The sequence below is a fragment of the Homo sapiens genome, chromosome 21 (assembly GCF_000001405.40).
Source record: "Homo sapiens chromosome 21, GRCh38.p14 Primary Assembly".
NCBI lineage: Eukaryota > Metazoa > Chordata > Mammalia > Primates > Hominidae > Homo > Homo sapiens.
The window spans coordinates 16,225,102-16,250,453 of NC_000021.9; the positions used below are offsets into that span (position 1 = coordinate 16,225,102).

Sequence of the window (25,352 nt, forward strand, 5' to 3'; positions counted from 1 at the left end):
GTCAGGGGCTTATAGATAAAATTCCCATCTCCCTGGGACAGAGCACCTGGGGGAAGGGGCGGCTGTGGGCGCAGCTTCAAAAGACTTAAACGTTCCTTCCTGCCAGCTCTGAAGAGAGGAGAGGATCTCTTAACACAGCACTCAAGCTCTGCTAAGGGACAGACTTCCTCCTCAAGTGGGTCCCTGATCTCCATGCCTCTTGACTGGGAGACACCTCCCACCAGGGGTCGACAGATACCTCATACAGGAGAGCTCCAGCTGGCATCTGGCAGGTGACCCTCTGGGACGAAACTTCCAGAGGAAGGAGCAGACAGTAATCTTTGCTGTTCTGCAGCCTCCACTGGTGATACCAAGGCAAATAGGGTCTGGGGTGGACCTCTAGCAAACTCCAGCAGACCTACAGCAGAGGGGCCTGACTGTTGGAAGGAAAACTAACATACAGAAAGGAATAGCATCAAAATCAACAAAAAGGACGTCCACACCCAAACACCATTTAAAGATCACCAACATCAAAGACCAAAGGTAGATAAATCCACGAAGGTGAGGAAAATCCAGCACGAAAAGGCTGAAAATGCTAAAAACCAGAACGCCTCTTCTCCTCCAAAGGATCATAACTTCTCATCAGCAAGGGAACAAAACTGCACAAAACTGGATGAGTTTGATGAATTGACAGAGGTAGGCTTCAGAAGGTGGCTGATAACAAACTGCTCCGAAATAAAGGAGCATGTTCTAACCCAACGCAAGGAAGCTAAGAACCTTGAAAAAAGGTTAAATGAATTGCTAACTAGAATAACCAGTTTAGAGAAGAACATAAGTGACCTCATGGAGCTGAAAAACAGCACAAGAACTTCGTGAAGCATACACAAGTATCAATAGCTGAATCGACTGAGTGGAAAAAAGAATATCAGAGATTGAAGATCGACTTAATGAAATAAAGCAGGAAGACAAGATTAGAGTAAAAAGAATGAAAAGGAATGAACAAAGCCTCCAAGAAATATGGAACTATGTGAAAAGACCAAACCTACGTTTGATTGACGTACCTGAAAGTGACAGGGAGAATGGAACCAAGTTGGAAAAAACTCTTCAGTATATTATCCAGGAGAACTTTCCCCACCTAGCAAGACAGGCCAACATTCAAACTGAGGAAATACAGAAAACACCACTAAGATACTCCTCGAAAAGAGCAACCCCAAGACACATAATCATCCGATTCACAAAGGTTGAAATGAAGGAGAAAATGTTAAGGGCAGCCAGAGAAAAAGGTCAAGTTACCCACAAAGGGAAGCACGTCAGACTAACAGCGGGTCTCTCTGCAGAAACCCTACAAGCCAGAAGAGAGTGGGTGCCGATATCTGACCTTCTTAAAGAAAGGAATTTTCAACCCAGAGTTTCATATCCAGCCAAACGAAGCTTCATAAGCGAAGGAGAAATAAAATTCTTTAAAGACAAGCAAATGCTGAGAGATTTTGTCATCACCAGGCCTGCCTTGGAAGAGCTCCTGAAGGAAGCACTAAATATGGAAAGGAAAAACTGGTACCAGCAACTGCAAAAACATACCAAATTGTAAAGACAATTGATACTATGAAGAAACTGCATCAACTAATGGGCATAAAAACCAGCCAGCATCATAATGACAGGATCAAAATCACACATAACAATATTAACCTTAAATGTAAATGGGCTAAATGCCCCAATTAAAAGACACAGACTGGCAAATTGGATAAAAAGTAAAGACCCATTGGTGTGCTGTATTGAGGAGACACATCTCACGTGCAAAGACACACAGGGGCTCAAAATAAATGGATGGAGGAATATTTACCAAACAAATGGAAAGCAAAAAAAAAAAAAAAAAAAAAGGGTTGCAATCCTAGTCTCTGATAAAACAGACTTTAAACCAACAAAGACAAAAAAAGACAAAGAAGGACATTACATAATGGTAAAGGGATCAATGCAACAAGACAAGCTAACTATCCTAAATATATAAGCACCCAATACAGGAGCACCCAGATTCATAAAGGAAGTTTTTAGAGACCCACAAGGAGACTTTTACTCCAACACAATAATAGTGGGAGACTTTAACACCCACTGTCAATATTAGACAGATCAACGAGACAGAAAATTAACAAGGACATTCAAGCCTTGAACTCAGCTCTGGACCAAGCAAACCTAATAGACATTTACAGAAGTCTCTACTCCAAATCAGTAGAATATACATTTTCTCAGCACATTGCACTTATTCTAAAATTGACCACATAATTGGAAGTAAAACACTCCTCAGCAAATGCAAAAGAATGAAAATCAAAACAAACAGTCTCTCAGTCCACAACACAATCAAATTAGAACTCAGGATTAAGAAACTCACTCAAAACTGCACAACTACATGGAAACTGAGCAACCTTCTCAATGACTACTGTGTAAATAATGAAATTAAGGCAGAAATACATAAGCTTTTTGAAACCAATGAGAACAAAGACACAATGTACCAGAATCTCTGGGACACAGCTAAAGCAGTGTTTACAGGGAAATTTATAGCACTAAATGCCCACAGGGGAAAGCAGGAAAGATCTAAAATCAACACCCTAACATCACAATTAAAAGAACTAGAGAAGCAAGAGCAAACAAATTCAAAAGCTAGAAGAAGACAAGAAATAACTAAGATCAGAGCAGAACTGAAGAAGATAGAGACACGAAAAAGCCTTAAAAAATCAATAAACACACGAGCTGGTGTTTTGAAAAGATTAATAAAATAGTAGACCCCTAGCCAGAGTAATAAAGAAGAAAAGAGAGAAGAATCAGATAGACACAATAAAAAATGATAAAGGAGATATCATCATTGACCCCACAGGAATACAAACTACCATCAGAGAATACTATAAACACCTTTACGTAAATAAACTAGAAAATCTAGAAAAAATGGATAAATTCCTGGACACATACACCCTCTCAAGACTAAACCAGGAAGAAGTCAAATCACTGAATAGACCAATAACAAGCTCTGAAAGTGAGGCAGTAATTAATACCCTACCAACCAAAAGAGCCCAGGACCAGAAGGATTCACAGCCAAATTCTACCAGAGGTACAAAGAGGAGCTGGTTCCATCCCTTCTGAAACTATTTCAAACAATAGAAAAAGAGGGACTCTTCCCTAACTCATTTTATGAGGTCAGCATCATCCTGATAACAAAACCTGGCAGAGACACAACAAAAAGAAAAGAAAATTTCAGGCCAATATCCCTGATGAACATCGATGCAAAAATCCTTAATAAAATACTGCCAAACCGAATCCAGCAGCACATCAAAAAGCTCATCCACCACAATCAAGTTGGCTTCATCCTTGGCATACAAGGCTGGTTCAACATATGCAAATCAATGATGAAAAACACATGATTATGTCAACAGATGCAGAAAAGGCCTTTGATAAAATTCAACACCCCTTCATGCTAAAAACTCTCAATAAACTAGGTAGTGATGGAACATATCTCAAAAAAATAAGAGCTATTTGTGACAAACCCACAGCTAATATACTGAATGGGTCAAAGCTGGAAGCATTCCCTTTGAAAACTGGCACAAGACAAGGATGCCCTCGTGCTCAAAATAATATTGGAAGTTCTGGGCAGAGCAATCAGGCCAGAGAAAGAAATGAAGGATATTCAAATAGGAAGAGAGGAAGTCAAATTGTCCCTGTTTGCAGATGACATGATTGTATATTTAGAATAACTCATCGTCTCAGTACAAAGTCTCCTTAAGCAAATAAACAACTTCAGCAAAGTGTCAGGATACAAAATCCATGTGCAAAAATTACAAGCATTCCTATACACCAATAATAGACAAACACAGAGCCAAATTATGCATGAACTCCCATTCACAATTGCTACAAAAGGAATAAAATACCTAGGAGTCCAACTTACAAGGGATGTGAAGGACCTCTTCAAGGAGAACTACAAACCACTGTTCAAGGAAGTAAGAGAGGACACAAACAAATGGAAAAACATTCCATGCTCATGGATAGGAAGACCCAATATCATGGAAATGGCCATACAGCCCAAAGTAATTTATAGATTCGATGCTATTCCTATCAAGCTACCATTGACTTTCTTCGCAGAATTAGAAAAAAAACTACTTTAAATTTCATATGGAACCCAAAAGGAGCCTGCATAGCCCAGCCAATCCTAAGCAAAAAGAACAAAGCTGGAGGCATCACCCTACCTGGCTTCAAAATATACTACAAGGCTACAATAACCAAAACAGCATGGTACTGGTACCAAATAGACCAATGGAACAGGACAGAGGCCTCAGAAATAATGCCACCCATCTACAACCATCTGATCTTTGACAAACCTGACAAAAACGAGCAGTGGGGAAAGGATTCCCTATTTAATAAATGGTGTTGGGAAAACCAGCTAGCCCTATGCAGAAAACTGAAACTGGACCCCTTCCTTACACCTTGTACAAAAATTAACTCAAGATGGATTAAGGACTTAAACATAAGACCTAAAACCATAAAAACCTTAGAAGAAAACCTAGGCAATACCATTCAGGACATAGGCATGGGTAAAGACTTCATGACTAAAACACCAAATGTAATAGCAATAAAAGCCTAAATTGACAATTGGGATCTCATTAAACTAAAGAGCTTCTGCACAGCAAAAGAAACTATCTTCAGAGTGAACAGGCAACGTACAAAATGGGAGAAAATTTTTGCAATCTATCCATCTGACAGAGGGCTAATATCCAGAATCTACAAAGAATTTAAACAAATTTGCAAGAAAAAAAAACAACCCCATTAAAAAGTGGGTGAAGAATATGAACAGACACTTCTCAAAAGAAGACATTTATGCAGCCAACAAACATATGGAAAAAACCTCATCATCACTGGTCATTAGAGAAATGCAAATTAAAACCACAATGAGATACCATCTCATGCCAGTTAGAATGGTGATCATTGAAATGTCAGGAAACAGCAGATGCTGGAAAGGATGTGGAGAAATAGGAATGCTTTTACACTGTTGGTGAGAGTGTAAATTAGGTCAACCATTGTGGAAGACAGTGTGGCGATTCCTGAAGGATCTAGAACCAGAAATACCATTTCACCCAGCAATCCCATTACTGGGTATATTCCTGAAGGATTATAAAACATTCTACTATAAAGACACATCCACAAGTATGTTTATTGCAGCACTGTTCACAATAGCAAAGTCATGGAACCAACCCAAATGCCCATCAATGATAGACTGGATAAAGTAAATGTGGCGCATATACACCATGGAATACTATGCAGCCATAAAAAAGGATGAGTTCATGTCCTTTGCAGGGACATGGATGAATCTAGAAACCATCATTCTCAGCAGACTAACACAGGAATAGAAAACCAAACACCACATGTTCTCACTCGTAAGTGGGAGTGGAACAATGAGAACACATGGACACAGGGAAGGGGACATCACACACCGGGGCCTGTTGGGGCGTGGGGGGGCTAGGGGAGGGATAGCATTAGGAGAAATAAATGTACATAGGTTTCACAAACCACTATGGCACATGTACACCTGTGTAATAAACCTGCACGTTCTGCACATGTATCCCAGAACTTAAAATATAATAAAAAAAATTATGAGCATAATGGTACAGTCTCTCTATTTTGTTTAAGGGGAGTATCAAGTCAGAGTTTAGAGTGAATTATTTCTTTTAACTGCACAGTGTGATTCGTGAAGGTCAGAGTTGAGGTTCAGTGCAGTCAGGCTGGAAAGGTAGCTCCTGGCAATAAGAAGAGTGTGTGAATAAATAAAAGACGTGAGCTGTTTCCTAAGTTTACTTAATATTCAGATTAAATGAAAATTATGAGCCTGAATGTAGGAGTCTGGAATGAATATGAGTCAAAGATCACATGGAATTAATGTATTATAAAATGATATACAAGATAGGTTTAATTAATCTTCCTCAATCATTCTTATTTTTCAGATCTTCAGGAATTTTACTGGGATAATTATCCAAATAAATTGCAAGCATTCTATCCAAATGGTAAGCAGAACATCTTATTATGTAATCATATTTGTTTATCCATAATTAATATAACTTTCTGAGTATTGAAATGAGAAACTTGATTTACTCTTCTTCACTCATGTTTTAATTTTTTTATAAGAAAAACTAGAATCACTAAAGAATTTCTTTTTATTTTATTTAAAAATTATAATCCTGAGATGCAAATATATGCCATGTAAGCCTGGGAACTATTTAATCACTTTACTCTAAAATCTGGTAAAAGGTAAAATTTCTGAAAATAGGTGACTGGCAAACATTTTGTAAACAATATATAAGAAGAATTGTATATCAAAATATACACATAAAACTATCTTTTCAGATAATTATGTATCATTTATTTTCTTATAGCGAAATTATAAAAATACAACCTATAGCCTTCCATAGATACATAATTAACTATGTTTTGAAATGATATCCAATTCAGTACCCTCATACATTTGAAACTTTGATAAGCTGGTCTATCTTCACTTTGGGGATCTTCTTCATTAAGAGTTTGTTTTCTCAAGTTTTGAGGTAGGATACATGAAGTCATTCTTCTTCTTTATAATTATGTGGCAGGAACTATCTCCCTGAAAACTTTATGCTTAAGTTTTTGACAATCACACTGTCAGTCAGATGGTGCAAAGTCTTTTAATACTTTTTAATATAAGAGAGTTGTCTAAAATACAGATAGTTCTCCATCTGAGCTCATGACCCAAGCAATGTGCTTCAAAATTGCATTTATTGTATTTTTCTTATTACAAATGATACTATGTTCATAATGGATAGATAAATTAGATACACATAAATACAATTAAAAAGCATATTCTCACCACCTAATGTAACCTGTTAACCTTTTGTATAAATTGGTGAATGGTTTCAGTATATGAACACACAACCTACTGTAAAAATTCAAGAAATGAGTGTGATGATGATGTAAAATGCAGGTTCACCTTCTCTGTCCCCACTTCCTCTGCAGCTTGGGTATAAATGCCTGCTCCACCACCTGTTCTCTGTGTGAACTTTGGCAAATCCTTTACACTCTCTGGGCTGTCCTTTCTCATCTGCAAAATGGAGCTAATAATACATACCTAGCTGAAGGGGTTGTCTTGAGGATGAAATATGTTAATACAAGTTAGGTGTATAGAACAGTGCCTAGCTCATAAGTGTTAGATATTACAAAATTACCTATTGTATTTGAATTATTTTTTAGAATTCTTAAGATGTGCCTATTTTGTATACTTATATCTCATTTAGCTCTTTATTAATGGCAATTATTCTTCAGTTAGTTATTTTGTGGTTCCAGATAGAATATCATATTTTCTAAAAACAATAACAATTTTAGATACTTTTATTTTTTTCCTTTTTAGCATCATACTTTTTTCTATTTTGAGTTCACTACTTATTGCCTTGGCTATGTCTTTCGGTGCAACATGAAATAACTGAATAATTCTTTGTTCTTTCTGATTTTATTAGGAATTACTTTCATGATTATAATTTGAGTACTGTGTTGACTATTTGTATAAGTTTTATTCTTTTTCTTAAGAAGTAATTATATTCTTAATTAACTATATTTGATGATCAGAAGTTCCTGTTGATATTCTATAAATCTCAATTAAATATAAATTAATGTTTTAAAATCTGTTGAGAAGATGACTTGGTTCTCCTCTCTAGGTCAGCAGATTTGCTAATATTATGTTACTCTTGCATAGCTGGAAGCTTACTTTTATTACATACCTTAGCTCAATTCCTTTTTGTTTACTTGAGAATTCTAAAGAATATTCCAAAGTAAGAATGATATATACTATTTTTTATTGCTTGATATCTATGTGGTACTATTAAGGACGTTATATCCACATTGAACTTCACAATATTTTCTGTGGAGTTACATATATGTAAAAATTACAAATAAAATAAAAACCTTACTGGTAGAATATTCAGACCACAGAATCTATTTTGGAGGTGAAATTTAGAAAAAATGTTTTATTAATTGTTCTTTGAATTTTGTAGGAATTCTACCTTCATTGAGTTAATTTCTAGTCTGACATTTAAAAAGTATTGCTCATTTTGTTAAGTTTTTCATTTTACTGCCACATATTTATAAACTATAGTCTTTTGGTTTGCAAAGTTATTGTTGAATAGGTTTGATAGACTCCTCATCATTTCTAATTTTTATGTGTTTTTCTTCATTTTTCACTGATATTTGTGTCAGAAGTTTCCCTGTTTTATAGCTTCTCTCAAAAAGCCAAAAGTGGAATTATGTACTTGTTTGATATATTTATCTTCCTGATTTATTAATTCTGCTTAATACCTAGTGTGTGTGTATATATATATATATATATGTATGTATGTATATACACACACACACACACACATATATATATATTTATTTATTTATTATTTTTTTTGAGACGAGGTCTTGCTCTGTCGCCCAGATTGGAGTGCAGTGGCGCAATCTCAGCTCACTACAACCTTCGCCTCCCAGGTTCAAGCAATTCTCATGGTGCCTCAGCTTCCTTGGTAGCTGAGACTGCAGATGTGTACCACCATGCCTGGCTAATTTTTGTATTTTTAGTAGAGATGGGGTCTTGCCATGTTGGCCAGGCTAGTCTCAAACTCCTGACCTCATGTGATCTGCTCAGGTTGGTGGATCAAAGTGCTGAGATTACAGACATGAGCCATCATGGCTGTCCAAAACCTAGTCTATTTCTAATGCCATTTTTTAAATTCTGAGATTTATTTCTATGAAAATATTTCTAAGTGTATCAGGTTGTATACACCAGGGTTTGAATATGATTGATTTTTTAAATGTTTTGGAAATATTTGAAAACAGTATGTAATCCTTGTCATAGACTTATTTGGATATAGTTCTATCAGTTCAGCACAATTCATCATAATATTCAAATTTCATGTTCTTATATTCTATTTGCTGGACAGAGATGAGGCTAGTTTGTGCAAATTCTTAAAATGCCCAAGTGATCCATTTGGATTTATACAGTAGGCATAAAACTATTGAATATAAGCTGGTGAGTTATATGAGTAGACCCTATATAGGAAGATGAATCTTTGGGGGTATGAAAGATCAACTACAGTGGCGTACAACTAAGGCCAAATATAAGATTTAAGGATCTGTTTATTTCAGCATTTCTACTTTTAGGAATCTGACCTTAGAAATATCTTCCAGTCTTTGAAGGAAGGGTTTAGTGTTCTTAATCTTTCCCAAGCCAATTCCCGCCATCTTCTACTTTTCCTTCATCCAGTCCATTTCCTCCATCAGCTTTCCTTCTCAGTCCTTTTGTGACCTTCTGTGACATCAACTTCTTAAATGTAAAATATAATGACTTTCTTGTCTCATGAATTTTATCCCCCACTTTTATTTTTAGAAACTTTGATATAGCTTGTAAAAGCCAAGACAAATTTCTACCAGAATTAGAGATATGGCATTCATCCAGCCAGCCATCAAACATTTTTGAAAACCAACTATCTGCTAGGCACCATGCTAAGAGGTAGAAAAAGCTGCCTCCCTACAAGAGATAGAACCTTTAACCTCCATACGAAAGAGCTCTTAATCTTTTGCTTGAATTCTCCAAAGTTCAGCATCTCCAACTGACATTAATATATTTTTGATTCGATGACCTGAAGACAACCAAAACTTTAATGAGCTCAGTCTTTATCCCTAACCTACCTCTCCTACTATTTCCTCTCCTGGTTGATGGCTGATATTAATCTGTGCTAGAAACTTAATAGGCTGTCAATATATAATCTTTATTTAATTAATATTTTATGCTGTATCTTTACTCTGTCCTATCCTTAACCAAACTTCATAAAAGTCCTATTGATCACATCTTTACATGTATCCCAAACTTCTCTTTACCTCTGTATTTATTACCTCAGTTTTAGGACCACAACATATGCTTTTTGATTTTTTATAAACCACTAATTATTTTTATATCCCTACCTCTTTTGTCCGTCAGCTACACTCCTACCAGAATTTGCATATTATCATGACAGTCACCCATTGAAAAGTTTTTATGATTTTCGTTTGCTTAGAGGAAAAAACCAAAATCCTCAGGATGCATTCAGTTTTCTTCACAACCCAGTACCAAGTTTATCTCTTCTCAATTTATTCCCTTTCTCCATCTCCATCATCCTCATTCCCCTGAATTTCATCACATCTAATTAATGTGCATCATGGCTTCTTCATACTTAGACCATGTTCTCACACATAGTGGGTATTCAACCAATGTTTGCTGGTCATTATTTTGAAAAGGCAAAGGGCTAGATTAAGCAGGAGCATATGATCAATCACCTGAGTGGGTCAGACTGAGAAGACAGTTTAGTTGTTTAGTTGATAACTTATTGGAACTCTTGAAGTTTTATATTAGAATACCATGGAAATGGAATTCATAAATACAACTTAGAAATGACCTAGTCTAAGCTATGTTTCCTGAATGTTGAGACCTGAAGTATCAGGGACTTGTTCAGAATGATAGTTGCAGCTGTTTAATACTATGAGATTTACTGCTCCCGAATCTGCGGCAACTGAGGTAAACAATGGTTTGAGTCCTGAGTAGGAATTTAAGAGACATGATGAACTGTAACTATTATTGATAGAAGTAGATTATTCTGACTTGATTCCAAACTGATTGCATACATGTAATTTACCTCCAAGGGTGTATAATTATGATTTTGCCTGAGGTATCTATATGGAAGTATTTATGAGGATGCAATTTTCAGGGTTTTTTTTAAAAGCATGTAATTGGATATTTGATTTGTAACCTCTAAAATTAAGGTTAGAAATAGAGTCATGAGTGCTTCATGGAAGACTTCAAATGGAGAGAGAGTGAATTAATTTAGTAGCTGCTTCATACAACTTGGCTCAAATAGAGATTGTAGTCTTTCTCCTAGTCTTTATCATATGAAAAGCAGCCAGGATAGATTTTCCTTGTTATATTTTTGTATAGTTGAAAGTTTTGAATCAAATTTTAAGTCTTTACAATTGCCTTTTTAAAATTTTAACTGTTTGTTCTTCGTTACTTCTTTCTAAATGTCAAGGTATATTTATTTACTCTTAATAATGTGATATGTAGTATTCCACAAACATTGTCAGTGACAAATCTTTTGAACTAAAGAATAGATTGTTTGACCATTCCAGTAATTAAGGAAACTAGATTAAATATACAATGGTTGCACTGGTTTTTCAAACATTGATGAAGTAAACATTATTCTCAATTGACTTAGTAGCCAGACATTCTTCTCCCAAGTCTTGAAAAATAAAATATTCAACTTTCTGTTCAATTGAGTGGGGAGAGCTATAAATTTTGTTTCATAGCTTTGTTTATATTGTCTGCATTTCTCTAGATTTTATAGTTTTAGAACATTATAAGCCTTAGAAATTCAAATGCCGTTTTGCATTTAAACTTATGAAAAATAATTTAGGCCCACACTGAAGATCTGTGAACACTTTTCTTCCAAAGAGGGGTCGTACTGTTTAAGTTTGAGAAACACTGTATGAAACTAGTAGCTTAAAATATCCCTTTTCTAAATGTTAAGATGGTTCCTATTGTACAAGGGCAAGTTTCTGAATATATAGTTATAAAGCCTATTGATATATTGGGTAGTGTTTTTTTTTGTTTTTTTGAGTGCATCTAACCCAATGTCCACATTGTATAAAGTGCCAGAGAGATTGAATGAATTATCAAGTTCGTGGACTAGTCAGTGACTGACAGGACACAACTATAGTGATAAATATATACAAATAAACATGACAAAGTCATTCATAATAACTTTAATTATAACGAGAGAGTCGGGTCTAATCAAATTACATACAGGAAGAGTTAAAATAACTATCTGAATATTAAAAGTAAGATAAAATTTTGCTTGATGTAGGCTTTCTGGAATATTTAAATAAACAAAATTCTGAAATACCCTCTAATAAGTATTTCTCTATAGAGAGGTAATTATATTTAACAGCAAAATTAACATTGATCTATATTCACTGTGATATATTTTAAATATTGTTTTGAAATACTATTGTATTTATACAATGCAAAGGAAAGATCGCTATTTTTATTAAAAGAATGTTTTCAAAAAATATTTTAAATTTTTATTTCAAAGTGACAGTTATTCAAATGTTGAATATGATAAGTGTTTTGTCATATAACAATGTTGTAAAATATAAATGATTTTTATATATAAATAGAAATATGTCATTCATCAAGTTATATGTAATTGGCCACAGCTAACTCTAAGTGGGAAGATTTTTTTCTCATCCTATTACTTTTTTCCTGAGTATCTCAAGACATAATGCTTGTTTCTGTATTTAGACTTTTTTAGTTTCCCTTGTATTTTAGTTAGAATTATCTAATTGCTGCTCTCACACAAATGATGTTATGTGACTAGAGAGAGGAATCACGACTTACCTCTTTATCTCCCTGTAGCCCCCTGTTTCTCAACTTTGGCTGCATGTTAGAAACACTGCAGAAGATTAACAAATAATCATGTATGGGTGATAAATCTTGATTTTACTGATAGCTTTACATGTATCCACAACTTCTCAAATTATACACTTTAAATATGTGCAGTCTTAAAAAAAAAAAAGGAAAACATACACTTATCATATGACCCACTAATCCCCCTACTTGGGGGTGGGAAGGGGAAAAGTGGGAGGGTTCAAATACTCAGGTCCCATTTGCAGATATTCTAATGTAATTGGTCTTAAGTGAGGCTCAGGCTCTGATATTTATTAGAAACTTCCCATGAGATCCTAATGTGAATTCAGCATTGAGAGCTTCTAGTGAGTACTTTGCATATAAGTTCTCAAAAATAATTGTTCTCATGTTTTTATATATATAATGTGTATATATATGTGTGTGTCTATATATATATATACACATATATATGAGAATATATATCTATATCTATATATATATATGTGTGTGTGTGTGTGTGTGTGTGTGTGTGTGTGTATATATATATACATACATTTTTTTTTAGACACAGGTTCTCACTCTGTCACCCAGGCTGGAGTGCAGTAGTCAGACCATGGCTCACTCCAGCCTCAACCTTCTGGTCCCAAGCCATCCTCCTGCCTCAGCTTCCCAAGTAGCTGGGATTATAGGTGTGATATGATATCACATCTGGCTAATTTTTATTTTTTGTATAGACAGGGTCTTGCTATATTTCCCAGGCTGGTCTTGAACTCCTGTCCTCAAGCAATCCTCCTGCCTTAGCCTCCCAAAGTGCTGGGGTTACAGGTGTGAGCCACCATACCTGGCCTGTCCTCATATTTTAATTGAATATGTTTTTTCTTTAATTACAAGTAATGTAACTTGGGCAACATGGCAAAACCCCATCTCTACAAAAAATACAATATAATTAGCCAACCGTGGTGGTGCGCTCCTGTAGTCCCAGATACTTGAGAGGCTGAGGTGGGAGGATCACTTGAGCCTGGGATGTCTAGGCTACAGTGAGCCATAATCATGCCACTGCACTCCAGCCTGGGCAACAGAGTGAGATTCTGTCTCAAGAAAAAAAAAATTACAATAAAGCCTTGAATACATACATTGAAAAGCCTTGAGATGTATAAATTATGCCAGAGGAAGTCCAGTAAAAGAAGTACTCCCAAATAGCTTTTTGCAAATATAGACATGCCACAGCCTTATAGGCATACATCTTTACTAAGACACATCATAAAAACACATCTGTGTGGTACTTTTGGTGCATTTTGAATAAGGACTGAAAAAAGTTCACAAAGATTGGTCAGTTTGAAGTATGGAATTTAAATCACAGTTGTCATCTTATTAATGGCTACTATTTTTCTTGAAATTTCCATTTTATATGATATAGTAGTTTGCAAATCACTTTCATTTACATAGTATACGGTCATTTGAGTCATATTTATTTGTTTTGAACATGGACTTTGATGGAGACATTCCCAGTTTTTTTTAATATAAAATTCATTTCTTTAAACATCAGTTTATAATTGAAAATTTCAGTTTTATTGAAGTTTGGTTCCAGACAGTTAAGGTTTAGTAGTGTTTGCATTTTTGTCTTTGTAAAAATATTTGCACATTTAATTTATGATTCAATTTAATTTTTCTGTTATGAACATGAGTGGGTAGCAGAAAAAAATTAGAGTGTAGACATTGGTAGTTAGAATTGTGGGTCTCAAAAATGGGGTATAATTGAGTTGACAATCTCATACTTTGTATCTAGAAGAGAAACTGTGGCAAGAAACATTTTATATTTATTTTTTGTTCTTTGGGTATAACCTTTATAATGTTAACCTTTTGGAATGTATATATTTTGTGAGTCAGAATACTATAGACTATGCTGTAGTAATAAACCATCCCCATATTTCACTGATTTATCTCAACAAGGGTTTACTTTTCCTTTCTTTCTTTCTTTCTTTTTCTTTCTTTTTTTTTTTTTTTTCTGACAGTCTTGCTCTGTTGCCCAGGCTGGAGTGCAGTGGCATGATCTTGGCCCACTGCAGCCTGTGCCTCCCAGGTTCAAGTGATTCTCGTGCCTCAGCCTCCTGAGTAGCTGGTATTATAGGCGCCTACCACCATGCCCAGCCAATTTTTATATTTTTAGTAGAGGCAGGGTTTCACCATGTTGGCCAGGCTGGTTTCGAATTCCTGACCTCGAGTGATCTGTCCACCTCGGCCTCCCAAGGTGCTAGATTTACAGGCGTGAGTCACCACCCCCAGCAGGTTTACTTTTCATTTATAGAGCAAGGGGTACTCAGCATGTTATAGTTACTTGGAGCCCAGACTCAGGGAGGCACCGTATTGACTCATGTGACAGGGAAAGGGACACTGATGAACAGCAGTTCACTGTTAACACATGTCACATGGGTACTTCTCATTCAAAAGGGGTGAGAAAGTACATTCCTACTATGTGCCTGGGAGGAGAGGAGAATTGGAGTGTTTGTAAACGAGTCCTAGAGAGACCCACAAACGTCTTCTGATGGATGAGATACCGGATGACAGCGTATCTTTTTCTTCTCAACATAAGCCTGTATTGTAAGGAAGGTAGAATCTTATCATTGCACCTTCTCAGATAGGAAGTTGAGAATCAGAATGCCTGGACAGCGTCACTATACACCCACAGCTAGTGAGTAGAGGGATCAGGTTTATTATGTCTTTACAGCATAATTATGTCTCCATATATTTCATTGATATGAAACCTGTACTGTGTTCTGCTACTTTACATTCTATGATCCTTTTATATAATTGCTACTTTATTTTATAATCAAACAAAGAGCCAGTTTATGATAAGCATAGATTCTTAGGTTTAAGTGTGTAAATTTATAACTATTACCATCGGTTTGTCTTTTATACTTTCCTTTAAATAATATTTTTTAGTGTTAAAAATTATTCCTACCTTCAGTCCACCTTTACATTTTCGCTAAAAAATATTCTGTTAAGTTGAAAAACGAAGCAAATCATTGCCACTGGACACCATATTTATATCACTGGGAATGATGTTGTTTCTCAATAGGATTTGATTTTATCTGAAATTCCAATGTTTCCACCGACAATATAAAGAAAAAACAAAAACAAGAACAATCTGCTAATGAACAGTTTCTGAAGGGACAGAAGGGAAGTTTTCCAAATGCAAAGCTCAGCCAAAAGGGAGAATTTATTGTTGTTGTTGTTTATTTGTTTCCTGAGACAGAGTCTCACTATGTTGCCCAGGCTGGACTTGAACTGCTGGGTTCAAATGATCCTCCTGCCTCAGCCTCCCAAGTAGCTAGGATTCTAGGCAGGTGCCACCAGACCAGCTCAATGGGGAGGTTTACTAATGCAATTTTGCTACACCAAAATGGTGGCATCTATTTATTTACTTATTTTAAATAGGAAGAAGTCAGAAGACTTAATGAATCAAGCATTACTTATAATTATATTTTTTAATACAACGCTTTGAGCATGGACTTAAAAATGCAGAGATGAAATATAAGAGCTTCTTGGAAGCAAACATTGTTGGACAGACTTATAATGTGTCAGGATTTTCAAACTCATTTTCTATAACTTTCCAAAGATGCTGTCAAATGAAGGATGAGTCAGGTTTTCCATAAAAACATCATTCTAATTTTGTAAAACGGTGTGGCTCAAAACTATAAATTGGGCTGCCAAACTATTTCTCTCAAATGTTTGATGGTTTGGGAACATGTAGAATCCATTATATTTTCTTCATTAAAGGACTCCATATAATAAAGTGATTTATTGTGACAATTTAATTTATTGTGATAATTTAATGTTTGTGATTCAATGGAAAAACATCATTCTTTTCATAAATGTGATGTAATAACATAATATTCATCACTGGGTGCACAAAAGAAGTTTATGGATATATGACTCTGCTGCTAAGCTATCAGAAGGATTCGTGCCCCTGTCACTCCACACACGCTTTAGAAAGATAACAGCCATGATTTTTGATATGTAAAGTCCCAACCATTGTGTGTTCAGGAATCTGTCTGCATCATGACACAACGGTGGAACTAAGCCATAATGAATGATTTAGCTCTGTTTCCTCTTTCTTCACAATGTGCCCATGATTCTCATACCAATATGCCTTTCTTGGACTTATCTCTGAAGTCTGTAGGAGATAACTTCCTCCCCATTACTAGCCAGCAGGGTGGCCTGAGTTTCCTTGTCTGGAGCTGCAGGATATTTGTTCTATCCTGTTTACAGCCAATGGGGGGCCCTTTTTCTTCCCTACAGTGAGCCTTTTCATCTGCACAGAGGGAGATACAAAATCGGAAATGATCTTAATTAAATGTTTTCCGTCCAGAAACAACTAGTCCACTACCTTGATCTGGCGGACCTTCTTGGAGGTGCCCCTTCCCACCTCCCTCTGTGGTGAGATTGCAGGTAATAGACCTTATGACAAAAGACAAGGATAAATATTTATCAGGGCACCGAAGAATTTTTGAGTATCTACAATTATTTACATTCATTCCTGTGAACACATTTAACCATGTGAGGTGTTATTAGTACTCCCCGCTGACATTTTTTCCTTTATAATATTTTCAAATAAAATTGTATCCCCTGAACAAATTACAAAAGTGCCTTTAAATATCCAGAATAAATATTTTGAGAATATTCATTTTAAGGTTCAAGTTTCTAAAGTACCCTATTCGATGCTAAGTTATTGCAATATCTGTCGTTTAGAGGAACTTGTAGGTTTATTAGCTCTATAATGTCAACATTCGCAGATATGAAGCATTTTATATTTCTTAGTGATGTATAAATGTATGAGGAATACATGAAAATGCAACAAGATTTTGGTTGGCTTAATAATGAGTTTCTTTCTTAAAGATCAAGATAAAAATTCTGAATTTCTATTGTTCTGTTTTTAAAATTATAAACTTAAATGTATCTAGCTCCAATGTAAACTCTACATTGCCAACTTTTTGGAATATGAATATAATGAAAGTTTATATCTGGTTAGTTGTGAAAAAAATTATTATTCTATCATGTAAAGAACATAGAATTTATTAAGGAGATATTACTTAATTGGTAGATTATTCACAAGTTTTAGCTGAATTGATTTTTTTAAGGAAAAAATTATGTGAGGAATTTAACATATTTGTTTTGGTAGAAACATGTTTTGACAGAGGAATTTTATACTTAGATAAAATATCAGTTTCATATAAACAAATCATAACTTTTAAATTATAAGTACATCTTATAATTTTTATGTTTTCACGTCCATAGATTATTTATTGATAGATAAATAGATGGATAGAAAAATTTGCAAAGTTCAGATTTTTTTAGTGATAATCTAATTTTTTAAATAAAATGATTTAATATTTGCACAGTAAATGTGATGAAAACTTTGTGTACAGATATAAGGTCCTGTGGTTTGGGGTTTCCTTTTTGTCCAAAAGGCATTGTTCTATGTGAATTAGACATACCGATTTAATATTCTAATTCAATGCCTATAAAACCAACCTTTATTTAATTCTCTGCTTTCTGCAATTCCTCAAGGAGTGAAAAAATAGACTGTGACTTCTTTAAAAGAGGCATTTTGTTAAAAGAATAAAATGTCTTTTGAAATATTAGTGAAGTACTAGTATTTTAATACCCTTTTTTAAAAAAAACAATTAAAGAATCCTATGATTATTTCTTTTCCCTATCTCAAAACCAAGCATATTTTCAAGTAAAATTAAATATATTTGAATCTACACTTTATAATATTACAATAAAGGAAAGAAATAGTTATCATTACTACATTTGGAGATTTTTTTAAATGTAGTTTCTCGTTGAAAGAATTTACTTTCAACCACAAGAAGTTGATTATTCTGTGTGTTTTTATCAGATAGGCTTTATATAATTTCTTGTATCTCATAAGGAAGTCCATGCATAATAGACAAAGCATCCAAGAACACAAACTTAATGAAAAACCAGCTTTTGTTGAGATGGTTTCACTCCAGTAACCTTGGAAGTGTTGGCGAGTAATTTGAGTTTTAGTGACAAGATTCTGTTGCTGCTAGGGATGGTTTTGGCCATTTGATAGGCTGAGTTTTTACAAGAATAATTTACTGTGTTTACAGACAGCTTAGGTCTTATTAGGGAATATTAACCCTTCCCCCAAGTTTAGGTTCTATGTGTGCGTAAATTAAGAGATCTATTTCTGTTTTGGAAAGCACACAGTATATTTTAAATATAATTTTTAAATGTAATTTTTAAAAGAAAGGCTCTATTTTAGCCTTCTAAATTATATCTTCTATATACACTTGGTATTGCTGAATAACCAAAATTAGCTTTCGCTTTTCTTGCTGGAAATTTGTAATTTTCTTAACATATTCTTTCTGTTCTGAGTAAAAGTAAATAAAGGTAATTAAAATACAGTATTTTTTTAAAAACTTTTGAAAAGGTTCATCTTTTAAATTCTTCAATGATATGTAAAAGTTTCTACCTATGAATTTATTTTTTGTTACTGATAAATTTGTATTAAATAATTGATGCCTAAAATATATATTTAGTAGAATAAAGAAATTAGCTATAAAACAAAATTAGAAGAGCCACAAACTAGACAGGGCACTGTGGCTCATGTGTGTAATTCCAGCACTTTGAGAAGCCGAGGCAGGTGGATCACCTGAGGTCAGGAGTTCGAGGCCAGCCTGGCCAACATGGCGAAACCCTTTTTCTACTGAAAATACAAAAATTACCCAGGCATGGTGGCAGGCATCTGTAATTCCAGCTACTTGGGAGGCTGAGGCAGGAGAATCACTAGAACCCGAGAGGTGGAGGTTGCAGTGAGCTGAGATTGTGCCACTGCACTCCAACCTGGTGACAGAGGGAGACTCTGCCTAAAATAAAATAAAAATAATTAAAAAAAAAAAAAGAGCCACAAACTAAAGTCTGGTTGGGTTGGGTTCCATTGCCTTTGCTCAGAATGTAAGCTGCTACTATCTAGGTACATCAGCTGTACATATGTCTTGTAGCCCTTTAGGGTCTCAGATTTTGTCTCTGAAAATAAGAGGATTGGATAAAAAAAAAAAAAAGCTCAGTACTATTTTATAATTCCAGATGACAAGCTGAAGGATCAAGTCTTTAGCTTCTTAAAATTGTTATAGAGGATATTGAAAATGTTATTACTAAATTTGGAGTGAACATACATGAAAACATTGATTCTTTTTATTTTTGTTTTGAAAATAGTTAAAAATAAAAACAAGGGGAATTTATTATGTCAATCTCACAATTTATAAAGCTTGATATTTTGAGTTGCAAGTAAAATTAAATATAAAAATCTTTATTAATTCTGTCACATTAGTAGAGGTCTCAATGCTGTGAAAGTCCATGTCTAAATTATGACAAAATTATTTTCAACCATATCAGCATTGTTTCAGAAGAAAAGATCACAACTAAATTTACTTACAGCAATCTTACAGGTTTAAGTTTTATTGCGATTTCAAAAACAAAATAATTTCACTATCAAATTAAAAACAATTCATTCTTTTATCCAGAAAGATAGACATTAATTTGAATTAATAACATATTTCTGTTTTTTATGTTGCAATTTCTTTCCTAAAGATATAAAATCTTGTGCCAACTGTCAGAAAAAGGAAGGATGAGATTATTAATATGTGCAATGTGAATCAAAAATGATTCAAGAGAAATTATATGTATATCAGGAAACTTCTTGTTCTTTCTTATTGATGCTAAAGCAGGGTGGTGATGACTTGAGGTATAATTTAGTTAACACTATTTAGATATATATTGTCAAATTTAGAAACACATTTGTAGTAATATAATATATCATATATGACATGCTTTTCTGAGGGATTTGTGATAATAGTAGGTTTCATGAAAATCTCTCAAGAAGACATTGATTTTTTTACCAAAAGGTAAGGCTTTATATCTATAGTATGGGGATGTAAACATAATTATCAAATGAATATTTGATTCGAATGATTTATTTGATATTCACATAAATCAAATGATTTATTTGATATTTATGAATGTGATATTCATATTCATCAAATAAATTTGATATTGATGAATATCAAATAAATGGCAAAGAAAATATTTATGATGAGATGAACTTTTTTTTATTCACATCAGATGTTCTATACCTAGTATTATTACCTTTTGTCACTCATCAACAAAAGGTAGTATTGAGTTGTTTTCTTACTGGCACTTTAAAATATTATGCACTATTAATTTTCTTCAGTAAAATTTAATCTACTTAATCTGCTCTTATAATTATATTCTGTGATGTTTTCCAATACAAATAGTTATTCCAACCACTTTTAGAACTTGTTTCCTTTCCAATGTCCTTTCATAGCATCTTTTAGTATAAAACAACCTTTGGGATAAATATTAATAACATCAAGTCAACACACAGAGTGCCTATTCATCTTTGTTCATTATATCACTTGCTCTATTTAGATGAAAATCATATAATCAAAAATGCCAATATATTGTCTGTGTGACAAAGTGTCTCCAATGACACATTTAGTATAAAAGCCATGTTGTACTAATCTGAGAATAGAATAGATCTATATCTCATTCTAATAATAATTCTCAATGAATAGTGTGGCTCTTTCAACTGATGCATTAAACAGATAAAGATATTTCTTGGAGAGTTCAGTCAGTTGGCTATGCCGCCAGTTATAACAGAAACCAATTTTCAAGCCGTGAGTTCTTGTTTTTTGTTTTTTACCAAAGGTACTGTTTCCGTACACTGGTATTAAAAAAATGGATTATTCTTTTTGATATAACTAAGATGAAACATTTTTTCATTTTTTCCTGTGATTTTCAGTTTGTCATTTATTATTATATTTACCAGTTTTCGTTTCTATGTGCCTTACACACAACTCTCACAAACTTTGTTTCTCCATTTGCTTTACTCTTTTTTTAATCAATCTGTCTAGTTTGTCCTGATGAAACCAAGTACCATAGACAGGGTGGCTTATAAACAACATAAAGTTATTTCTCACAGTTCTGGAATCAGGGAAGTGCAAGATCAGGGTACCAGCATGGTTGGATTCTGGTGAGGGTCCTCTTCCAGGTTGCAGACTGCCATCTGCTCATTGTATTCTCACATGGCAGAAAGAGGACTGGAGGGCTCTCTGGGGTATCTTTCATAAGAGCACTAATCCCACTGACGAGAGCTCCACTTTCATGATCTAATTACCCCCCAAAGGCCCCAACTCCTCATATCAGCACATTGGAGGTTAGGATTTCAACATATACATTTCTGGGCAATGTATACAATTCCATTGGACAGTCTTACAATCTTTTCAGTGTTTACATGCATAATTTACTGCAAGACTTGGAATGAAACTTCTTAGCTTTGCTTGGTCTATATAATATGCTTCATCTTAAGCAAGCTCTACATTACTAGTGATGTTAAATTTCAGTAAATGGAAAAATTCCTTGAGAATACTATATTCTCTTTCATTATCCAAATACCTCTAATTTTACAATTTGATCAGTGTTCCTGCCCGTGTACAACCCAATTGAATTACATTGGATGTAATTGCCAGTTTTTAAAATATATCTTTGGATTAAAAGATAAATATTATGAAGGACCCTGTCTCATTGTGCCATCAGTATATCATGGCTGAGACTATCTCAGATAAGATAATGTATTAGTCGTCTGCTTCCTAGGAAAATGAACACTAAAATGAAATATGGAAGAAATGGATTCTGAGTGTTAAATGTGAGAAACAAGGTTTATACTGAACATTCTAAGCCATTGCCAAATGTCAACTTTAAACTTCAGATCAAGAGATTCAGAATTCTACAGTGTCAGGTATGGTAGATGTTCTCACACCAAGGTGAACACAAGAATCAACCGAGTGATTTATTTAAAAGAGAGTCCTGAGTGCCACCCCCAGAAATTCAGATTTTTAAATTTTTAAATAAATCTGAGTGTGTCTTTTAAACTTACATTTTGTACCAGCAACTCCAAGTTATTCTAATATAGGTAATCCACAGATAAAAAATATTTGTTAGAACGTATTTTTTAAAAATATTGTTTAGACCATAAATATTTTAGCCTTTTCTTTTTTTTAACAAAATATAAATTTATACTTTTTAGACAGCAAAAAAAAAAAAAAATTGTTTAAAGAAACTCTGGCCGGGCGCGGTGGCACACGCTTGTACCCAGCACTTTGGAAGGCCAAGGCGGGTGGATCACCTGAGGTCAAGAGTTTGAGACCAGCCTGGCCAACATGGTGAAACCCCATCTCTACTAAAAACACAAAAATCAGCCGGCCATGGTGGTGTCCGCGTGTAATCCCAGCTACTCAGGAAGCGGAGGCAGAAGAATTGCTTGAACCTGGGAGACGGAGGTTGTGGTGAGTCGAGATCGCACCACTGCACTCCATCCTGGGCAACGGAGAGAAACTCAGTCTCAAACAAAACAAAGCAAAAACATAAACTCTAAATTCCATTATGTATGTATGTATGTATGTATGTATGTATGTATGTATGTATTTTTTGAGGCACAGTCTTGCTCTGTGTTGCCCAGGCTGGAGTGCAGTGGTACAATCTCAGCTCACTGCAGCCTCCACCTCCCAGATTCAAGCGATTCTCATGAGTAGAATGCCTCAGCCTCCTGAGTACCTGCGATTACAGGTGTGCACCACCATGCCCAGCTAATTTTTGTATTTTTAGTAGAGACGGGGTTTCACCATGTTGACCAGGCTGGTCTCGAACTCCTGACCTCAGATGATCCACCCACCTTGGCCTCCCAAAGTGCTGGGATTACAGGCGTGAGCCACCTCACCCAGCCTAAATTCCTTTAAAACTATATTTATTTCTTAAGAACCTGATCACTAGTCTTTCTGTCAGCTCTTTCTCTTTTTATTTTTTATTTTTGGTCATTTCTGGTTTATATTTTAGAATGTGCTACTATAGATTTGCTGGGATGATTCTGATTTTAATCAATTTTTTTTCCTTCTTGTACCATAAAAAATTGAAATGTCCCAGAAATTTTGAATACATCTAGAATCTAGACTGTATCTCCCAGATTCCTATTCATATAAAAATTTTCAGGCAAATTGTCCCTCTTTGGGGTTCACAAATCATGATTGCAAGAGCTAGAAGTAAACCACTGTAGAATATTTTAGAGGCTAATAGTTTAGAGGCTAAAGATGTCTCAGAGAATATTGGTCTACCCCTGTCCTATGGATGAATTCACTGTTTAGCAAAGCACTGGACGTGTATTATGTCCTAGAGTATCCCAAAAGGGTATACTGAATCATTTCTAAAAACAGTCAGTGTATTAGGAATCCATGTGCAAGTAACAGAAGTCCTTAGTACAGGAGCATAAATAGAAGCATATTTACTTGTCTCATACTACAAGGAGCCTGAGATTAGGCCACAGGCTAATATAGACACTCAAGAGTGCCTTCAAGATTTCGGGCTCTTTTTTTTTTTTCTGCTCTGTATTGCGCTGACTACTATTACCCTCATGCTAACTCCTTCTTAGGTAGATGATTGCTACACTTCTAGGTCCCATATCCTCAGGATAACTACCTGGGAAAGAAGGAAAGAACAAATTAGCGAAAAGCAATGCTCTGTTTTTCAATTTGGAAAGAGATGGCCCTTTCAACTTCATGTTATTACCCAAAACTGTGTCACTTTATCTGCTCTGGCTTTATGAGAAGCTAAAAAATTGAGTAATTTTACCTGGGTACATTGATGTCCCAAACTAAATCAGGGTTCTGACAGGAAAAAAGTAGGAATACATACTGTATCAGAAACTGGAATTGTTTGCTACAGATAGTATATCTATAAAGAAAAATGTGTAAGAAAGACTCAGAACAATTAATGTAGACATAAAGATGTAGATTATTATTTGCCTGTTACATGTATTAACCGTTTGGTAGACTATTTTTTGGGAGACATCGTTGTGAGTCTTCATAATGCTCATCTCACTCACCCATGACAGCAAAATGGGGGTTGGTCGCTAATTATTAGGTAAAACATTCTAAACTAACAGGAAAAAGGAATCCTTGAGTTAATCTTGGGAGGATAACAGTGGGTGAAAGACGATGATAAATGCGCAAAACTGCTAAAGTTTAAATGATTGGCACTTTCAGGATGGTAGCAGTCAATAAGAATATGACTGCTGTGTAGTTAACCTCTGCACTTTTTTTCTTTTTTCTTTTTTTTTTTCTTTTCTTTTTTTTTTTTTTGAGATAGAGTTTCCCTGTTTTCACCCAGGAGTGATCTCGGCTCGCTGCAACCTCTGCCTCCCAGGTTCAAGTGATTCTCCTACCTCAGCCTCCTGAGTAGCTAGGATTACAAGCGCCCACCACCACACCCAGCTAATTTTTGTGTTTTTAGTAGAGATGAGGTTTTGCCATGTTGGCCAGGCTGGTGTTGAACTCCTGACCTCAGGTGATCTGCCCCCTCAGCCTCTCAAAGTACTGAGATTACAGGCATGAGCCACCATGCCCAGCCTCTGCCCTGTTTTTATCAGTTTACCTTTATGACTGACTGAGGAAGTCCTGAAGTTGCAGCTGCTCCACTTCTGAGTGATCCTGGTTTTTTTATTTCTTGTTGTCCCACAGCAGACAGTTATTAAAATATTGAAATAATGAGAATCCTCAACAACTCTAGTCACCTTTGGCACCTGCAAAATAGAAGTTTTGCTATAGTGGTCTAGGGTGAGAGGTACCCCAAAGAGGTATATTGAATCAGTTTTAAAAGCAGTCAGCTTGTTAGGATTTCATGTACAAATAACAGAAATCTCTGCTACAGTGGCTTCAGTAGAAGCATACTCACTTGTCTTATACTATAAGAAGCCTGATATTAGGCCACAGAGCTAATACAGAGGCTCAAGGATGTCCTCAAAATGAAAGGT

At 35.0% G+C, this 25,352-nt stretch overlaps 1 long non-coding RNA gene across 9 annotated transcripts in view, besides 1 other annotated feature; it reads left to right on the forward strand.

Moving 5' to 3' along the window:
• The window catches only part of MIR99AHG (mir-99a-let-7c cluster host gene), a 561,240-nt gene that overhangs the window by 154,614 nt on the left and 381,274 nt on the right, over window positions 1-25,352 (forward strand). For all 9 annotated transcript variants that reach the window (NR_136541.1, NR_136542.1, NR_027790.3 and 6 more), the window contains one exon: window positions 5,955-6,014. This is a non-coding gene — a long non-coding RNA (mir-99a-let-7c cluster host gene). The remainder of the gene's footprint in view (window positions 1-5,954; window positions 6,015-25,352) is intronic.
• Window positions 16,218-17,207: an enhancer, noted in NCBI's record as "OCT4-NANOG hESC enhancer chr21:17613639-17614628 (GRCh37/hg19 assembly coordinates)". NCBI's record gives its function as "activates a minimal SCP1, AML or CMV promoter by ChIP-STARR-seq in naive and primed H9 embryonic stem cells {active_cell/tissue: H9 hESC(naive and primed)}" and the evidence as "EXISTENCE:reporter gene assay evidence [ECO:0000049][PMID:30033119]".